This window comes from Homo sapiens, chromosome 7 (genome assembly GCF_000001405.40).
Source record: "Homo sapiens chromosome 7, GRCh38.p14 Primary Assembly".
NCBI lineage: Eukaryota > Metazoa > Chordata > Mammalia > Primates > Hominidae > Homo > Homo sapiens.
This window is the reverse complement of record NC_000007.14, coordinates 27,818,059-27,838,985: the sequence shown is the minus strand read 5'-3', so window position 1 is coordinate 27,838,985 and position 20,927 is coordinate 27,818,059. Positions and strand designations below refer to the sequence as shown.

The 20,927-nt window shown below is 37.9% G+C and overlaps 2 protein-coding genes across 10 annotated transcripts in view; one reads left to right on the top strand and one right to left on the bottom strand.

Moving 5' to 3' along the window:
- The window catches only part of JAZF1 (JAZF zinc finger 1), a 350,219-nt gene extending 341,810 nt beyond the window's left edge, over positions 1-8,409 (top strand). For all 4 annotated transcript variants that reach the window (NM_175061.4, XM_047420026.1, XM_047420025.1 and 1 more), the window contains one exon: positions 6,010-8,409. In NM_175061.4, the coding sequence (NP_778231.2) occupies positions 6,010-6,186 (177 nt within the window). In that variant the 3' untranslated portion in view covers positions 6,187-8,409. The remainder of the gene's footprint in view (positions 1-6,009) is intronic.
- TAX1BP1 (Tax1 binding protein 1) overlaps positions 9,219-20,927 on the bottom strand; it is a 90,395-nt gene continuing 78,686 nt past the window's right edge. For all 6 annotated transcript variants that reach the window (NM_001206901.1, NM_006024.7, NM_001362794.2 and 3 more), the window contains 2 exons: positions 11,166-11,248; positions 9,219-10,358 (listed from right to left, as the gene is read on the bottom strand). In NM_001206901.1, the coding sequence (NP_001193830.1) occupies positions 10,157-10,358; positions 11,166-11,248 (285 nt within the window). In that variant the 3' untranslated portion in view covers positions 9,219-10,156. The remainder of the gene's footprint in view (positions 10,359-11,165; positions 11,249-20,927) is intronic.

Genomic DNA, 20,927 nt, shown 5'->3' with positions numbered 1-20,927 from the left:
GTGGGGGCTTTTCTGAGTGTTCTCTCTCCACCCAAGGCCACTGAGAATTCAGTGAGCCTTGGGCTGAAGGGGCTGCTGGCTCCAGCCCCATTAACTGGCAGGTGACATGGGTGGCAGTTGGTGGTCCTGATCCCACGAGGGAAGCGTGAGTTTCCTTTTCTGGCCAGAATGCCAGGTCATGATACACAGGGCCATAGCAGGCTTGTGACCACACCTGTGACCAGGCGCTGGAGATGAGCTGCTCCTACATCCCAAAGCTGGCAGCTGACTCTTTCTGCCCCGAAGTTGCTGGCTGGAAGGCAGGGCTGTGCTCCAGTGCGATTAGTATTTCATCTTATTCACAGCATCATTGCTGGCTTGGGTACTGGAGAGAAGAGGGTGGGATAAGCTGGGTACTGTGGACTCGGGCAGAATCCAGAAGTGCTACCACCTCATTTGTTCTCAAGGCAAGTCAGACTTTTCTTATTCCCTGCTTGCTGCTGGCAGCAGTCTCTGCCAGCCAAGTCTCCTGGGCACTGACCAGGATCTACAGTCCTCACCATTTCATTGGCATTTACGGATCAGACAGAAGATGAGGTACCGAACTCCCAGACCTCATGCAGAGCAGGGAATGGGAGAAGGATCCCACTGGTAAGGCCAAGTCTCCACATTTCCTTCCCATGTTAACTCCTTAGCCTAGGACGCTCCCTGCCCTTTGTAGAGGAAAAAATAATGTTTTCCTCAGTCATCATAAGTTCTAGTTGCAACAGATTCTCTCTAACAAAAGAGAGATTAACAAGAGAAAAACAGTTTATCAACATGTGTATTTCATATACACACAGGAGACAAGACACCCAGGGAATGGGCAGTTCTCATAGCTTATACAGCATCTTCAACAAAGAACAGTTAAGTACATTTTTAGAGAAGTAACAAAGGAAAAGGGCTTTGAGTCTCTGGAAGCAGCAACTTGTGGAAGGAAAAAAGAAAAAAAAAAAAAAGGCAGACAAAGTCCTGTTAGTGTATTAGCTTGTTAATGTAGATTCCTCCAGTACCATCTCCAGGCCAATAAGAGTCTGAAGTCCTCTTCATTGGTTAACCTTTGATCTCCCCAGAAGAAGTGGGAGTGGGCTTTCTTCTGACTTTGTAAATTTGTGTCCTGTTTTGAGGCACACAGAGGGAGAGCAGGGAGCCTCCTTCCTGCATCTGCTGCTGCTGAACTGCCTTCGGCTAAAGAGTCCTTAGGGCAAAGAGGCATTTTTGGGTTGCATATTCGGGTCCCCTGTCCCTTCCTCTCTCCCTCAGTATCTCTCATTTTAATTCCACTCCTTTCTCCAGCACAGCTCCAGTGCCTCCACCTCTGGGACCCCTCACCAACCTCCCAGACTTACTCCCCTCTCCGCCCCTCATAGGTCAAGTTCTCATCCTCCCCACATGCTCTTTCTACATTGAGGCGCCATTTCCCTTACTGCTCCCATAACCCGCAGAGCTCACTGTCCCTCCTCAGCACCCAGCACATGTCTCAGATGTGACAGATGCTCTGAGGGCAAAGGAATCAAGGTGTAGCCCATGGGAACGGGGAAATGTGGGCTCCCCACTGAGCCCCAAAGCCATGGGAGGATTCTTTTCCTTTGTATCCTTCCCAGAGGCGTTCCAGGCCACAACCACTGAGCCCACCACCCTTGCCCTGCTCATGCTCGCCTGAATTCAGGGAACAGAGAGGACTTCCCTTCCTTATAATGCAGATAGGTTTAAAAGATGGGTTGAAGTGCTTAACCTTTGATAATTTTTATGTTAGAATGGTGAGGATTAAGGCATTTTTAAAGTTTTTTTGTTTTGTTTTGTTTTAAGAAATGTTACACAGAACAATACCCCGCCCCCCAAAGTTCCTCTGGAGTCCTCTGCTGCAGAGAGGTACATTGATTGTTTCAGCAACAGAGACAGATCCAGATACAGTGTCCCATTTTCAAACACTGAGAAACATTTAATGATGAGGGAGTGCTCACAAAGTAACATTGAGTGGAAAAAAGGTATTGAGAGAGAGAGTGTGTGTGTGTGTATGAAAAAATAGTGAAAAGAAATACCTCAAATATTAACAGTGATAGTGTCTGTTCTTTTTTATCCTCTTCTGTGTTTTCTGAATTTCTGTAATTGTCTAACTGAACATGTTATTTAAATGACTGAGGGAAGAGGCAATTCTTTTTTTCCTGAAGACCCCACCCAACTTGCTGGACACAGTGTGTGCTGCTGTGCAGTGGCCAGTAGGGAACTGCGTGCACCTCAGCCTCCTGCTTTCTGGGGCTGGTGAGGTGTCCACACTGCTGCAAGTGGTTTCACTTTTAACCCCCACCATTACCACTACTACCATCCCCAATTTGTTTTCTTACTCTTCTTCCTCATCAAATCCCCAAGCAACTTCATCTTCTCCGCTGTGTACAACATCCAGGCCCTGGGAAATTGACCACTGGGCTTATCTAGGGCAAGCGTCACATGTTGTACACATGAAGGCCTGAGTACTGACAACAAAGATCCCATACAGGTAAGGACAGGATGGCCCAGCTCAGCATCTGGACTTCAGGCCTCATGATTTGATTTGGAGTAGACTTTTTAGAAAAGCCTTTAAGTCGCCTGCTGTCTATTGACTGGCCTAATTCCATCAGAGGGGACAGGTAGTTCCTAATGGTGGAACCCCCCCCACCTAAGTTCTCCTTTCTACCTCCTACCTTCCCACTTTCTTCCCTTACTAGCTTGATGTCAGAGCATCACTTTGAGAAAACTCAAAGACAGTTTTCTCCAGACTATTATCCCAATCCTTCCTCCCAACTGGTAAGATTTTTCAAAGACCACTAGCTGGTTGTTCTAATTAACGAGTACCTAGCACATTAGGAGACTAAATGAGGAAATATGGACTATGGATTGGACATCCCTGGGTTCCTATTCCAGTTCTGTAATTTACCAGCCATGTGATCTTGGCCAAGTCACTCACCTTCTCTAGGAGTCAATTCTCTCATCCAGAACATGAGTATTAAATAAGGCAATTGACATCAAGTACCCAGTATGGTAAGCTCTTAATAAATGTTAGCAACTTTCCTTGCCCTTTTGAAGCTTGATTCCATTTTTTTCAAAGACCAAAGAATTTCAGCAATTTCAGCATTTCAGGTTTCCGGCCATTATTTATTTTTTTTTACTAATATTTCTGAAAGATCAAATTTGTTTCAGGACTGATGAAATAAACTTTGGTGGATCTTTTCAGAGCTCCTCTGGTCTTGTAAAGAGGACGTTCCCGCGGCCTGTAACTGAATGGCTGGATGGAGGAAATGTCTTAATAGAGTCTCACTTGACCTTGTACTAACATTTGCGATAAGGGCAACCCACTGACGCTTGTCAACATTTTTTAATCACAGCAGCAAAGACAAAGGAGTGATGGCACAGCAGGTTCTCTGACCAACCCTGGAAATACTTTATGTTTCTAAATGTGCTTCCTGATTTTTCCAGAGTCATAAAGCTGATGTGTGTGTGGTGTTGGCTGTTTTCTTCACAGTCTCATGCCAGACACACAACATAATGTTTACATTCAAGCTGTGAATGGGCCACAGCGCCTGCCGGAATCCCCTCAGCCCTGGCTTGTCCTTCTCTTGGTGAACGACAGATCTGGCTTCACATTGGACTGGCTTTTATGGCTTTAGCAATTTCTGGTCTTAAATCTTTTTTTTAGCCTAATTAGTTATAAAAACCTCAGCCCTCAATGGAATGGCTAAGCCCTGATACTGTTAAGAGTTGCTGTGCCTTTTTGTTTCTTGGTTAATGCTTTTCTATTTTTGGTTTCCTCTATTTTCTGACAAGGTTTGAATGGTTTTGGGGCACAGAGGTAGCTGGATTATTAATGAGCTGTCCTGCATCAAGTTCCCCATGAAAACAAGGACATGAAATATTTTAGTAGCCCTTCATCCACGGAAAAGGACCCTGCTAGGTGCTCAATATTCGTTGAGCTATACATGGGATATTACTAAGCAGGCAGGTGCACATTTCTAGCATTTGTAACCCAGGATACTTTCCACCATATTAAAGTTGAAAGTCTTTATCTAATGGTCATAAAACTAACATTCACTCTCTTTCTGTCTCTCTCACACACACAATACATGGCTTAAAACAATTATCTTTTACAGTTCTCTGGGCTGCCTGGTTCAACAAGGTGGTTCTCGCCTGGGGTCTCATGCAGTTGCTCTAAGACACCAGTTGGGGCTAGAATCATCTGAAGGCTCACTTGGGCTGGATACACACGTTGGCCTCTTCACTCATGTGCCTGGGCCTCGGAGGGGATGGAACCGCCAGGGACTGGCAGGGCATATCTACCCATCTAACATTTCAGTGGGTCTGATTCTACCACCACCACTACCCTCCCCTTTCCTGCCCCAGTAGGCTCTGAAACCCCCAACATGCCTCTTAACAAGACTGAAGTACCTTATGTTTGAAAGGATTGATGCTGGAAGGACAGGGCTGAGGTGCAGAAGGCCTGGAGCCAGGTGTTCAGGGGAGAGTGTTTGTCCTTCTGCTTCAAATCACTGGACAACCTTCAGACTCTGAGCATAGCCAGCTGCTACTTGGCACCCCTGGGTTCAACAAAGTCCAGCAGAGTTCTCTTCCAAGGACTTTTAAAAAAGCATTCATGTGTACTGCACATCTCTAGTGTAGTAATCACCACCACGTTTATATTTAGTAGCAACCCTTCTTCCAGACTAGTGAGGCGTGAACTTGGGAAGTGCTGTTGTAACTTCATTCACTCACAAAGACTTAGCATCGACAATGTGCCAGGCACTGTGCTAGGTATTCATGAGACAACAGCAGGGAGCTGTTTTCTGGGAGCTCTTTGAAGGCATCCCATGAAGAGTGGGAACAATTTGTGTTGGAATCCTTCAGTTGGGCAAGGGACTGGCTCTAGCAGGACTGGATTTAGGTAATATTTTAGGAAACAGCTCACTCTCCTAAAATCTGTGCTTTTTGTTTCAGGCTGTCTCTTCTGTGTTCCCTTACTCTCTAATCTGGCAATTGCTGACTTGGAAATTAAGACCTATCTCAAATACCACACGTCCGCCGTCCCTTCTTAGATCTTCCACCAGTTACTTACTACCCTCAAGCCCATTTCCTCACCATTTAATTGGGATGAGGATTACTGGTGGTTAAAACTGTAGAGAGTGACTCTTACATAGAATACGGAATCTTACATAGAATATGCTGGTGAACTAGCAAAACCGACAAACAGAAATTTAGAAAGCATTTTGATAACTTTAGTATCCAGATGCTAAGAAGTCCAATCTTAGTGACTAACATTATATAACCTTAAATTTTTAAAGTTCATTGTATGTTTGGAATGTAATACTTAAGGTAAGGACTAGTCTGACTACAGGTGCTTATTAAACATGTACAACTGTACGGCGGGGACAAGATTTGGGCAACAAGTAGCTCCCACAGTGGCATCAGAGATACTGGCTTAGTGCAGAGCAGAAAACTGACAAAAACTCTGGTTAAGGCATGGTAGGGAACTGTTAACACAGTTATCTAGAAGCAAGCTGTAAATTGAGTTTCCAAATCAAAAATTTCTATATGTTAAACTTTTGGGATATGCCCTGATGTTTTTCTTTAGAAAGATATTTTGTTGGTCATGCTGAGGATATTTGTGTAGGATTGTTCACTGTTAACTTTCTTTAGAGTGGAAAAGATTCAGAGGATTTTCTTTATACAGTCTGTAAGTCCTAAATATATATTTTATATAAAATTGGAAGAAATCAGTACTTTCATTTTCAGAGTAATTGAGGCACATCTGAAATTTTGAGTCAGCTGTGTGTGTGACCATCCGTACAGCCCATGACCGACACACCAGAATGTCCTTGAAGGGTCCCAACTGGAGTCCTTGCAAAAGACTACACTCTAAACAGCTGCCATCCAGGAACTGCAATCCAGACCCAAATTGAGGTTTCCGAAGTTTGACAGGTATCCTGTGAATCCATGTAATAAATATTTTTGTCTTCTCCACAGAATGTGAATGGCATAAAGTATCACGCTAAGAATGGTCACAGAACACAGATTCGTGTCCGCAAACCATTCAAGTGTCGCTGTGGGAAGAGTTACAAGACAGCTCAGGGCCTGCGGCACCACACAATCAATTTCCATCCCCCGGTGTCGGCTGAGATTATCAGGAAGATGCAGCAATAACATGCTGGTCATAACTGTGCCAAGAAATCCTCACCAGCAGTTGCTGATTTTGAAAACAGCCACCTTTTTTCAGGGGAAGCATTCAGCAACCCTTTAAAGAAAAAGAATTAAATGCATGCTTTAAATTTTTTCTGTAATTTTGGAATGATGTATCTTTGTAGAGTTAATGATTTTGTACATTTGCACATGTAATCATCATACCCATTTTCATTACTTTGATATAAGGTGCTAAACAAAAAAAGCTCTAGGTTCTTCAGCACATTTCCCCCAAAACAAAATAAAATTGAGGGCATGTTGCATATTGTTGAATTGTATTGCGGTGGTATCAACCTGGGGGGAGGAGGGGCTGGCACTGAGATTTTTTTTTCAAGATTGTAATGTGATTGAAGTTTTCAACACATCAACTCACATATGTTCAAAACCAAAATAATACCTTCATTATCAAACTGGTTACCATGCCTTACATAATGGAGTTAGTATTTGTGAGTAGAAAGACTTTAGGTAATGGAAATATAAATAAGAAAGAATGTTTAACATAATATGCTAAAAATATTTTCATATTTAAATAACATACGTAAAGGTGTGCTTTCTGTGTTTTATATTATCTTGCAAATCCTTTTGCCCTTTAAAAAGCTGAAAATCTTGCCATCTGACTTACTAGTCATTTTAGTGTTATAAATGGCATTTTGTACAAAATAGTCTATTCAGTTCGTTCATTCATTTAACACACATTGATTGAGTGCCTGCTGGGTACAAGGGATTCAATTTATGCCTATTGATATCTGCGGACCAAGATACCCATTTAGTGAAATACTTTTTTCCCTGAAATCTGTTAGAAAAGACTTTGAAATACTTCAGTGCAAAGTGTGTGTGTGTGAAGTTTAGTTATATCTTCATCTTCAGATGAAGTTTTAAAGCACTTTGTAGTTCTCTATTGCCAACAATTTAATGTTTATGTGTTGCCAATTCTTGCAACCACTGCCCTACCAAACCTGTGGGTTGCAAATCAGAACTAAAATTCTAAGCACGTTTCAAAGATGAACACTTTTGTTAAGACCCCTATTGCCTCTTCTTCATGCTCATTTTTTACTTTTTTTAAAAGGTACTTTTCTCATCACATTGTAGAGAGGTCTGCATTCTCATTGGAAATGTCTGTTTAGCTTTATAAAACAAACACTTTGCTGAAATAGGAAAATGAGCCTTATTGACAATTAAGTGCTTCTTGCAGCAGGTGGTCAAAGAAAAGCATGACTAATACGACCTATTAGAGTAATCTACATCTGGACCATTCCTTAAGTTTTTCCTCACCGACAGTACCATCATGCCTTGAGTGTTCTTTTCTCCCAAGTGCTATTCCTTAAACACGAGAGTTTACCAGTTGCCTAATAATGCAATAAAAAATGCTTTGAGATAGCTAACTGCCCATAAAACAAACTCAAATTGCTTATAAAGTTTCTTCCCATGTTCCCATTTGATGAAAAGTCTTACATCACATATAACTGGGAAGCAGGGGTCCCTCCTCAATTTTCAGACATTTTGAAAGGATGACAGTTCTGTTTGTTAGATGAGTAAACCTCTATATTCATAAGTTCTAAAATCCTTCATTATGAGGGATTCAAAGTATTTATAAAAACACTGCCCTCTAAAAATTTCCTCAGATCTGAAGTATGGTCTTGGTCCTGAATATACAGTGTTATCCTATGTTTAAAAGGGTGATCCAGACATGAGACGCAACTAGTTGGTGCATAAGAAGGCCCCACTTGGCTATTTCATATCTACCTACAATTGACCAAAAAAAATTTTTTAGGCCAGCAATTATTATTTAGCTTCGCTCTTTCTAGTGCAAGAAACTGCAGGCTGGATCAGTAGTTCAACAGCTAAACAGTCATAAAATAGTCATTGTGCATGTTAAATTTCTTTCAATGCTTTCAAAGATAAATTCCAATTTCTATTTACTTATTCATTGTGACAGTATTACTAAACAGGTAAGGATGGGAATATTTTGTTATACTGTGTATAGTGAATGTATTGTACTGTGTCTGTGAAAACTGTGCTTTAAATTATATTTTCATATGTTTTGTTGGGGACAGAGCACATTAAGTCTGAAAGCAACAGAGGTTTGTTTTAGAACTGAAGGCAATTTAATCAAAATTCCTGTCAAGAAAAGCTGCTTATAAATGTAAATGAAATCACATTTAAAATAAACTGCCTCTGACCCAAAAATAAATATGGCTCTTTATTTTCCTTAGTGTCCATTATGAAAACCAGTATCAAGTTTACCATGGAAATTAATATATCCATTCAGTTCCTCATTCTAAGGCTGTTCAGTTGATGCATGTAGACTTTATTCCCTTACATTTTTGCTTAGATTAGATTAGGCTGTATTACTTTTCTGTCAATAACAAATTAAGCTTGGACTTACTTACTTAAACTATTTTAAAATAAGTTCTAGGCTAGTAAGATGAACAGTGTCTACTACTATAATAAATATTCCAAGGATACTTTTGGATTAACATGGTCCATAATTATTAACTCCAACAAAAATGCTCCCATTGTTGAACATATTTTACCTAAGTATATAACCTATCTGGAAGCTGAAAGTCTCCAAAGCTATTGCTTCCTAGGACTGCTGTGTCCTAACAGCTGGCATATGAATGCCTCATACTGGTTTGCCCTAGACTCAAAAAACTTTTTAAAGGATTCTAACAATATACAAACTCTGCTTCCACAAACAAATACAAGTGACGACATGATATGCTGCAGTTCACATATAGCAACTCAAAATGCCACCAAGTCTAAATATTAGGTTAACATCTTCAATAGCTAGTTTGCTCAGAACAAATGTAAACTATTTTGATGATAACTACAAAAGCGGCAAAATCAAAAGTTGGTGCTTTAAATTATTCACACGCACATTATAAAAGGGAAAGGGAATACAATTCAGAAGTATTTTAAAGGCCCAAACCAAAAAAAGATGTTCAAGATGCTAGATTAATGAAAAACTTTCACAAATAAATTTGACAACAATGAAATTACAGATCTTGAAAAATGTGTCCTCTTTCTTTAATGTTAGTGACAGTTCTATACAGCACAGACATAACTGAAGAAACACATTACTTTGATTTGGGTTTATGTATTGTACTTTTAATCACTTACTGAGAATATTTCAAATTTATATTCTCATCAGGAAAATGTAAAAAAGATACTGATATATATTCTATGATTTTTATGCCACAAACACCCCTGTTATGAGATCATTTAATAGGAAAACAATTATACTGACATCTCTTGTTCCATTTTCCCATTAGATATATACATACAACTTCAAGATAGTTTAAAAATAATCATTCAGGTTATTCTAAAATTTTGCCATAAAATTAGCAAAGTATGCCTTCTGTTAATTGCTAAAACCAATATTTCACATATAAAAGCATGTGATCTCATTCTACATGCAGCTCCATTTCTGAAAATTAAAAACCTATCATTTCATGGGCTAAATTATAGAACTTTCTATATTCGAAGAACTACTTCATAAGACTGTTATGACAAATGCTTTTTATTACATAATATTTAGTAGTCATGCTCAATCAACAAGGTCAACAGAAACTTGTGAATATTCTGCTAAATAATCTAGCACACTAATACATACACGTTTTTCAGTGCAGTAACATTGAAATAATCCTTGTATCCTTTATTCAGACAGTTCTGCAAACTAGGGAATAAATAAAGATACGAACACACAAGAACTTTTTTTTAAAGCAGGTAAGATTAACAGAGATTAAAATTTATTGATAAGCCAAAGACTGACCCTGATCCTAGTAACACCAAACTCAAAGTAGCTCCTGGTCAGAAAGTGCAGTAAAGGGTGCATGAAAGCATCCGCTCTATGGTCTCCTCAGTGGTCTATTTTAGGTGTGGTTTTTTTTTTTTTTTTTACTGCTAAACTATATTAACTCATAATAAAAAGTAACTAGTCAAAATTTAGAACATTCTGATCAAAATGGGTCTGCACATGCCTTTCAAACACCTGCTGGTCATAGTCAGGAGGGAACTGCTCGCTGCACATCGGGCACACCTTCCAGTGACTTTCAACATGTTCTTCAAATTTGCTCTGATCATAGTTAGGAGGAAACATTAACTCACAGAGGGGACACTTCTTGTGAACATCAAAGCTTAAAGAGAAAAATGAAAGAATTACATGTTTCTAATAAATGTAGAACAACAACTTGTCCATATATGACAAGGTTCCATTTATCTAGTTAGCTGATATTCATACTAAACAACCTACCTTAAAAGTCTTTACTCCAGAAACATTTCTCTGCTTCTAAATGCTTGCTGTAGACAATTGTGTAACCCATTTATAGAGCCTCTAAATTCAATTTTACAATTAGATTAACAAAACCGTTTTTCCCCCTTAAAACCTCCCAAATCCAATCACAATTACGTGAAATTAGTACCAAGAATTCTTCCACGTTTAACAGAAAATGCCTTTTGTAAGACTGTAAGGATAAATACAACTCATAACTTCCCACCAGTGCATTTGGTTTAATAGCAAAGTTTTTATGGCACTGGTTCTCAAATGCTTGTATGCATCAGAATCAGTCGGAGGACATGTTTTTGTTTTTGGCCAAAAATACTGTATTTTTAACCAGCAAGATCATTGGTGCATTATTATACAACATTAGGTGTTTTTTGCAAAACTAGTTCCCATCCCCAAACAACAGACAATACATGCATTTGAATGACATTTTAGGAACAGTAAATATTCTTTTAAATACTGCAAGTTAAAAATGTTTTCTGACAAAACTCCCTAAATCGGAGGACATGTTAAAACACATATTGCTGGGCCTACGCCTGGTGTTTCTGGTTCAGCTAGGCCAGGCCCTACACATGTGCATTTCTAATGAGTTCCCAAGGACCACCTTTGAGAACCACTGGCCGATATAACCCAAATTCTACAAAGTAAAGAAGAAAACTACCTGGAATCAAAGCAAAAGCCTGTCCCATGCCCACGTAAATGTTGACTTGGAGGATCAGGAGCAGTAGGCACATTCTCATCTTCCTAGGGGAAAAATAATTTTGGAACTTTTAAGAAAAGTAAAACCAAATATAAATTCCTTAATTCAATCAAGCACATACTGACAGTATAAAAGAAGATTACACTTCAGGAAATTTTCTCTCTGCTATCATTTAATTAGACTTTCAAATAAACATGTTTGAAACTTTGCAGAGTATTTCACTATAAACTAACACTGTGGTGTTCTTGAAATAAAAAGCAGTATTCAGAGGAATAGAGACATACCATTTACACATACCATTTACCATACCTGTATGTGTAAATGAAGCTGAGAACAGTAGACCTTTTCAAACCTATATACGTAGGTAACTTTTACTGACTTTATCATTCTGCAGACTGGGTGACCAGTTTTTTGCTTTTTTTTTTTTTGAGATGGAGTCATCACTCTGTCACCCAGGCTGGAGTGCAGTGGCGCGATCTCGGCTGACTGCAACCCCTGCCTCCTGGGTTCAAGCAATTCTTATGCCTCAGCCTCCTGAGTAGCTGGGATTATAGGTGTGCACCACCATGCCCAGCTAATTTTTGTATTTTTTAGTAGAGACAGGGTTTCACCATGTTAGCCAGGCTGATCTCAAACTCCTGGCCTCAAGTGATCCGTCCTCCTTGGTCTCTCAAAGTGCCGGGATTTCAGGCGTGAGCCGCTGTGCCTGGCCCTACTTTCAATACTGTCAGACTGCATTATTGTCCCAAACGTTCTCATTTAATAACTGTAAGCTTAATTACAAGAAAGACAGTCTCTCTGACAAGATACATCCATTGCATGATATACAGAAATCATAATGAAAAACTAATAAAGTATGTGTGAGTTTGTATATGCATATTCTTGGGGAAGCAAGTCCAACTGGATTAACACGTGTTAAAGCAAAGCAATGCACTAAACTACAAGCCTCAAAACTCTGCTATAGAGGAACAAAATCCAAAGTTAAATATTTCAGAGGTTGTCAAGTGAGACTTCTAAAAATTTGTGCATCTAGTTTTCATCACAAAGAAAACACTGATTTGGATTCCCATGGCTGCATCCCAGCAGTTTTTAGAGATCTGTACGTGCTACATCAACAGCCAAACACACAGGCTCATTTAACACTGAAACCAGGCACATCATCTAAATTGCCTATTTCCTTTTTATCTCTCAGCAGCCGTTAGCTGCTCTCATGTCATGAACTAACAGCATATCCCCAAGCGCAGCCGGCACTGAGGAAGCCTTTATGTTACTGGGTAGGCATGCTTGCCCCAGAGCTGCTATTAATGGGTCAGTTAAGTCTGTCATGGGAAGGAGCACCAAAAAAAGTATATATGGTGTGAAGTGCAACGTGAACAAACAAAAGACAAAATGAGTATTTCTAGTACTTGACTATCCTTCTGACAATTTTCCCCTCTTGAAAAGTAAAAGAAGGGGTAAAATACTTCTGTTTATCTGTGAGTCCCATAGGATATAACTGAGCAAAAGGAAAACGGGACAGATAACCTAATGGGGGATTAAATTGGGAGATAAAACACGAATACTTTATATACTTCAAAAATTCAATCAAGTAACTAAAATCCAGACAGCTTTTAAGTCTGTAGATACAAAGAAGGAAGATGAGAAAGTAGTTGAATCTGCTGAGCTTAGTATGTAGGACAGTGAATTCTGATTTTGTGCCAGGTTACTCTAGCTCCCAGATTTAGGCCTCCCAGCAACAATCTTTGAAACACTGAGTATACTTAAATAACTACAAAACAGTGATAAGGAACAAAATTTTCTCACTCATCTTTGAAAAAAAAATCCAAAATATTGAAATGCTGAAGAAAATAATTGGAAAAGATAAAATGGGGCAGGTCTTGATATTATATTTTTTAGAATTTTTAACGACAAATATTTAAAATAGAATACAATTTTCTAGGGGCCAAAAATGTAATGGAACCAAAAGTCTCATAACCTCCTTTTCCTGTTTTATAATAGCTAACAGCCTACACCAATTTACTGCTTCCATGAATCAGCTAACAGTAGAGTTTGTAGCTAAGGTTCCAGACTCAGACAAACTGTCAGACATGTTAACCCTGCTCGTTAAATACCTGGAGGGGAAAAAAGGTAGAAGTAATTTATACTTTCTAAGTCATATATAATTTGGCAATGATAACCCGATTATTCTGTTATCTTCTACCACCTATTACCTAATAAAAGGGGAGAGGGGCTCAAGAGTATAATTCTACATGTTATAATGAGAAACAATAAGTTCTCATGAAATAAAACATGAACCATCTACCCAGAGCATAGGTTGAAATCAGAGAGTATGCAGTAAGCACTCTAAGGAGCCAATACATATAATAAAGTCTCTCATGATATTGACAGGCAAAATGATGAGTGAAATCTTCACTCGAGAATACATTTATTCTATTTTACTCAACAAGCCTGGTTAATTAGTTTCAAAACCACAGTAGATTAAAAATACTTTAATTTGGAAATGAAGCTTTTAAAGCAGGCCGACTGACAGTTAAAAAAAAAAAAAAGCTACTGGGAAAAAGAAAAGCAAGACAAGAACTTGAAATATCCAATGTTAGGCATTTCACTATTAGTAATAGATCACACAGCCTTACTATACATCTTAAAAGAATATGACACCATGTAACACTGATTTTTTAAATAAACCTTAATCATCAAGGTTATATTAAATGAAAGCATGGAAAGCCAGAGAATCATGCATTCTGTTTTAGAAATATTTCTACCCCAAATTATTAAATTATCAGTTTCAGCACTGAAACTTACAAACCCAAAGGGTTTAACAGCACATTTTAAAATATCACCACCTAGTATTTTAGCTAAACTACTAAAATAATCTTGTAAGCAAATTTTATTGAGAATACCGTACTGAAATATATTTATGAACAGTTCCAAATTTTAAGAAATACCTTTTCAGAAAACTTTTATTAATATTACTTTAATCCATTTAAAGATCTAAACGCCCTATTGTTTTCATCTATGTTTACACCCATCAGCACAATACTCTTTCCATTACAAACTGGTTTTTAAGCAAAGGAAACAAGCTACGATAAACTGACATTCAATTTGAAACTCAAAAACTTCTCATTATCTGCTCAGGATATACTCTGTACAAAAACATTCTTGTTTTCTTATTAAAAGCATACGACCACCTTGGACATTTGAACAGTAATTTTTTTTTTTTTTTTTTTTTTTTGAGACAAGGTCTTGCTCTGTCACCCAGGAGTGCAGTGGCACGATCATGGATCACTGCAGCCATGACCTCCTGGACTCCAGCAATCCTCCCATCTCAGCCTCCCAGGTAGCTAGGACTACCGGCGTGTACCACCACACTCGGTATTTTTTTTAAGAGACAGGATCTCACTATGTTACCCAGGCTGGTCTCAAACTCCTGGGCTCAAGCAGTCCTCCCACCTTGGCCTCCCCAAAAGTGATGAGATTACAGACATGAGTCACCTGCCTGGCCTGATGGTAAAGGGGGTTATAACCTGTTGGAAAATAAATTAGGGTTAGATCACACTAACTTCAAAATGCAATCATGATCATACATGGTAGTTCCTCAAAAAATTAAAAATAAAATTACCATATTATCCAGCAATTCTACTTCAGGGTATATGCCCAAAAGAACTAAAAGCAAGGACTTGAACAGATATGTTCAATCACGAACCCATGTTCATAGCAGCATTATTCACAATAGTCAAAAGGTAGAAACAACCCAAATGTCTATTGATATATGCACGGATAAACAAAATGTGGCATATATCCATAGGGTGGAATATTATTTACCCTTATTCAAAAGGAATGAAATTCTGATACATGTTTACAACATGGATGAACCTTGAAGTCATTATGCTAAGTGAAATAAGCCACTCGCAAAAAGACAAATACTATATGATTCCACTTACATAAGGTACCCAGAGTAGTCAAATTCAAATTACTGGTGGTTTTCAGGGACTGGAGGAAGAGGGAATGGGAGTTGTTGTTTAATGGGTAAGGAGTTCAGTTTTACAAGATGAAGAGTTTCCAGAGATTGGCTGCACAGCAGTAAAGTTAACATTACAGAACTATATGCTTAAAAATGGCTAAGATGGCAAATTTTATATTTATTCTACCACAATAAAAAAAATGCCATCTATCATGATCAAGTTATGGCAATACATACTCAGGGGTAAATGACTGAGTTACATAATCTGTATCATCAGTATCCAGACTGTGGGACTCTCTACTTAGCATTTCCCAAACTGTGTTGTAATTCTACCTTTGCTAGGAACTACTAATTGAAATATTTAGTTATCATTCAGGAATTAGTAATTAATATTGAGGAAGAAAAGTTTCACCACTTAACAAAACTCTTACTAAGTTGATAATTATTACTTTAGTTCAAGAGTATTCACACTTTAAGAAATTTACATATTTGCTAAGGCCAAAATCAATGCATAAGAGAAAAGAGAGTACCCAATGACTCTGGGTAACTTTTATTTAAAACAAGAGAATATCTCTTTGCCCCTCAAAACTTTGTATTACTATACAGTATTAGTCAGTATTCCTCCTCTTCTTATGAGATGTTATTGCTTATGCTTTGCCAGACATTCATTTCTAGTAATATATCAATGAAGAAATAACATTGAACTATATATAATTTATCTAATTTAAAAGCATTTAAAATCAGAAAGAAAATAATTTTGCAAATCTCTATTAGTTTTCAAAAGTTTTACTTTGCTCCATATTCAAAAATTAAAAATAATTTTGCACATCTGTTAGTTTTCAAAAGCTTTACTTTGCTCCATATTCAAAAATTAACTCAAAATAGACCAAAAACCAAATATAAGAGCTAAAACTATAAAGCCCTTACAAGAAAACATACGAGTAAATTAAAAACCTTGGAGAGACCATGGTTTCTTAGGTATAACAAAAGTATAAGCAACAAAATAACATAAATTCAGCTTCACTAAAACTAAAAAGTTTTGTGCTGCAAAGAGCACCATCGTAAAAGTGAAGACAACCCACAGAATGGGAGACATATATGCAAACCCTATTATCTGATAAGGGGCCCAATTTGAAAACAGCAGAAGGATTTGAACAGATATTCTTCCAAAGAGGATATACAAATGGCCAGCAAGCACATGAAAGATGCTTAACATCATTAACCACCAGGAAAATGCAAATCAAAATCACAATGATGAACCATTTCACAAAGACAGTAACAAGTGTGGCTGAGGATGTGGAGTAAGTGGAACCCTCATACACTACTGATGGGAATGTAGAGTCATGCAGCCACTGGGGAAAACAATCGGGCAGTTTTTCAAAAGGTTTAGGTAAACATAAGAGTTACCACATGACCCAGCAGTTCCACTCCTAGGATTTCCACTACAGCAGTTGCTAGTGGAACTGACCTAGTAATTCCACTTTCCCCAAAGAAGTAAAAAGGTATGAAAACAAAAGCACGTATGCCATAGCCAAAAAGTGAAATAACCCAAATGTCTAACACATGAATGGGTAAACAAAATGTGGGACAGGTTGAGTCCCCCTTATCCAAAATGCTTGGGAACAGAAGTGTTTCAGATTTCAGACTTTCTCAGATTTTGTAATACTTCATTACGCTTGCCAGCTGAACATCCCAAATTTGAAAATCCAAAATGCTCCAGTAAGCATTTCCTTTGAGTATCATGTCAGCACTCAGTTTCGGATTTTGGATGCTCAATCTAACCACCCAAACAAACAAGAATAAAACCCATTCTTCATGTTAAACATGGATGCATGCTAAAACATGGATAACTTTGAAAACATGCTAAGTGAAAGAAACCAGTCACAAAAGATAACAATTTTATGATTTGACTTATATTACTATGCAGAACAGACGAATCTATAAACAAAGTGGACTGAGGGTTTCCTGGGCTGGTGGGAATAAATGGGAAGAGGTTAACCGCTACAGGCTACAGGGTTTTTTTTGCTGGTGAGGAAAATGTTCTAAAATTGAATGCGGTGATGGTTGCACAGCTCTGTGAATACATTAAAAACCACTAAATTGTATACTTTAAATGGCAAATTGTATAATATGTGAATTATATCTCAAGCTATCACAAAAAATTAACTACTTTTTTTTTTTTTTTTGAGACCGAGTCTTGCTCTGTTGTCCGGGCTGGAGTATAGTGGCACAATCTTGGCTCACTCCAACCTCTGTCTCTCAGGTTCAAACAATTCTCATGCCTCAGCCTTCCAAGTAGCTGGGATTACTGGCGTGCACCACCATGCCCAGATAAATTTTTTTTGTATTTTTAGTAGAGATGGGGTTTTGCCATGTTGGCCAGGCTGGTCTCGAACTCCTGACCTCAAGTGATCTGCCTGCCTAGACCTCCCAAAGTGCTGGGATTACAAGCTTGAGCCACCATGCCCAGCCCAACAATTACTTTTCTAAGATGGCCTGAATTTTAAATAGTTTAATAGGCAAAAATGGAACAAACACATTTCTTTAAACTCATTAATAACATTTTAAAAGCCTCTACTATATGAAAGGTATTATACTAATATGGTATAGAAAAGTGAATATTCAGAATTAAGAGATGCCAACCAGCTATATATTATCTGTTGGAAATAACTGTGTACAAAAAATTTTAAATGGAACAGCAAAGATTCATTTAATCCTTTTGATGACATATTCAATTACAGGCTGACTATCTTTAATCCAAAAATCTGAAGAGCAAAATGCTCCAAAATCCAAAACTTTTTAAGCCCTGAGATGACACTTAAAGGAAATGCTCACTGAAGCACTGTGGACTTTGGATTTTCAGATTAGAGGTGCTCAACTGTTAAGTATAATGCAAATATTCCAAAATCTGAAAAAATCTGAAATCTGAAATACTTCTGGTCCCAAGCATTTTGGATAAGGGATAGTCAACCTATATCTATTTTTTCCTTTGTTGCTTATGCTGTTGGTGTCATATCTAAGAAACTACTGCCTAATCTAAGTCGTAAAGATTTATCTGTATGTTTTGAGTTTTGTAGTTTAGCTCTTAACATTTAAAATCAAATTTTGAGTTAATTTCTGCACAGGCTATGAATCAAGAGTCTAATTTCATTCTTTCATCGAACTGCATATACAGTTTTTCCAGTACCATTTGTTGCAAAGACTATTCTTTTCCTCTTGAATTGTCTTGGCTCTCTTGATAAAAATGAATTGACTGTAATCACACACTATTTTTGTGAACAGAAAACACATTAAAATTAAATTTAAAACGTAAGATAATATATGAAAAATGGCAAGTTTGAGAAAGGCAAAAACTCAAACAGTGCAACATGATAAATGGGAAACAGCCCTCAACTCTCTCAAGCACTGGTTCTCAATCATTTTGGAGTAACAGACGCTTCTGAGAATAAAAGCTAGAACTCACCAGAAAAAAGAAAAAAATTGTCTATCAACAAAAAATGTCTGCAGTTTAGGGGTTCACAGTGAAGGGCTCATGTGAAAAGTTTCAAATAAGCCACATATTAATAGAATGTGTGGGCTTTCGTCTTTGATAGAGGAGAAAGGAATGAAGGTAGAAGAGAAACACTAAGAAATGCAAGAATGCAACTAGAAAGTAAGATATGAATTAAGGGAAGAGATAATAATCTGGCCTTGAATGATTGGGGTTAGGCAGTTTTAAAATAGCGTATCCCAAATGTTAAAAATCATATGATCACCTAAAGATTTTGTTAAATGCAGTCTGATTCTCAGTAAGGCTGGAGTGGGGCAGGAGATTCTGCCATTTCCAACATACTCCTAGGAGATACCACTACTGCTGGTCTACAAACCACTTTTTTGAGGAGCAAGGATTTAGACCCATAGTTTGCAGAACTAGGTATGAAAGTACCTAGGGCACCACAGTAAATTCCGAGGGTTACTGTGGGATAATTTTAATTTTCTAAGGATATTATATATGCAGAAGTACACAGAAATATTCATTAGAGTTGGTCTCCAACATACAATGGTTAGACTTACAATTTTTGAACTTTAAGATGGTACAAAAGCAATACACATTCAGTACCTTCCTCAACTTATGATGGGGTTACGTTCCAATGAACCCACTGTAAGCTGAAAATATCCTTCAAGTCAAAAACACATATTTAACTTATGATGGGTTTATCAGGATGTAACCCCATCGTAAGTTGAGGAGCATCTGCATTTGTCATATACCACGTGAACAACTACAGTCACTGGAGATCGCTCACAGATTCAACTTTAAATGTGCTACACATTCCTTTCAATGCCATCTTATCTTCGAGATGCTGGTTTTGGCAGTTGCTGTGATATAAAGCAAGTGCCACATTGTGAAAATCAATGAGAAACAGGAAATGAAGGTGGCTTGTCCAATCTGATTCTAAGGCTTGAGGAGTTGTACAGTGGCCAATAGTCACACACATCCCATTAGTAACTACTTATTTAGGAATGAAATAAACACATTAATTTTCTTTCAATTTATGTGTAGTTTTTTCTTTTTTTTTTAATGGTCACTAAATTTGTTAGAAGACAAATACTTAACGGTCAGCAAGTCCTTACTTAACATCATGGAGCAGTTCTTAGAAACTGCAACTTTAAGTGAAAGGACTTACAGCAGGTTGAAAGAAATAACATCATTCTTTCATCGGTTCATTACAACGTTGATGAGGGAAAAAACTGGTTTTGTTACACATCATTTCGTTTAAAGTCACAATTTCCAGTAACTTATTATATATGACATTAAGTGAGGACTTACTGTATTTCTTTTGGCCTAGGGGTTACTAGAACTAAGAAAGTATGAAAACCTCTGGTTTAGTCCATTTGACAGGTGGCTAAGACCACAACTTCTATAGCCAATCTCATGAGATTCAATCCTGTCTCTACCCACAGCAGCTAAGTGATTTGGGGCATGCTATTTAATCTGTCTCTTGGTTTCCTCCACTATAAAGTTGTAACAGTAACAATTCCTACCTCATAGGACTGCTATGAAGAACAAATAAGTGACTCTATCTAAAGAGTTCAGCATTAATGGCAAAGAGGGGTATAGAAATGTTTGCTGCTGTCATAATTATGATGTTAAAGTTATTACAATCATTAGGTAAACGGGAGTCACAAAAGGTTTTTGATCTGACAATTGACCACAGTTTCTGGTGCAGAAGAGAGGAGATATGGCAGGTGTAGGCACTAGGGTAGGCTGAAAGAGTAGGTAGGTCACCTCAACCCTGACTCAAAAGTGCTGGGGCCTGTGGCTATTAATCACTCCCAGGGCAGAGAAACAGAAAGAAAGAACAGGTCAACTCAAATTTGCTTTCCATATTCTTACTAAAATTACTTACTAAAACACTTCATTTGCAAGTGATTTTTGTTGTTGTAACAACAAGAATTTTTTTTAATTCTGAATATACATAAGAATTACTTTCTAATGTGAAAAATCTTCTGACTGCAAAATAAAGTTACTCGAGGTGTGCATATTAAGAGTCCTCCATCTCATTACCAAATCTAAGCATGTCAGCAAATGAGCACAAGACTCTAACACTGCTTCTCCTGGGTTTGCAGGAGGGCAAAGCACACAGATCAGAAAGAACATTCTGCTAATTAAACTGAAGCAGATGACTACGGAAGAGAAGGGCTTGTCACATGTAACATCTGTGCCAAGAATGATCAGATTAAATACGCAAAATGTGAAGTAAAGGTGTGAAAAAGCAGTAAGA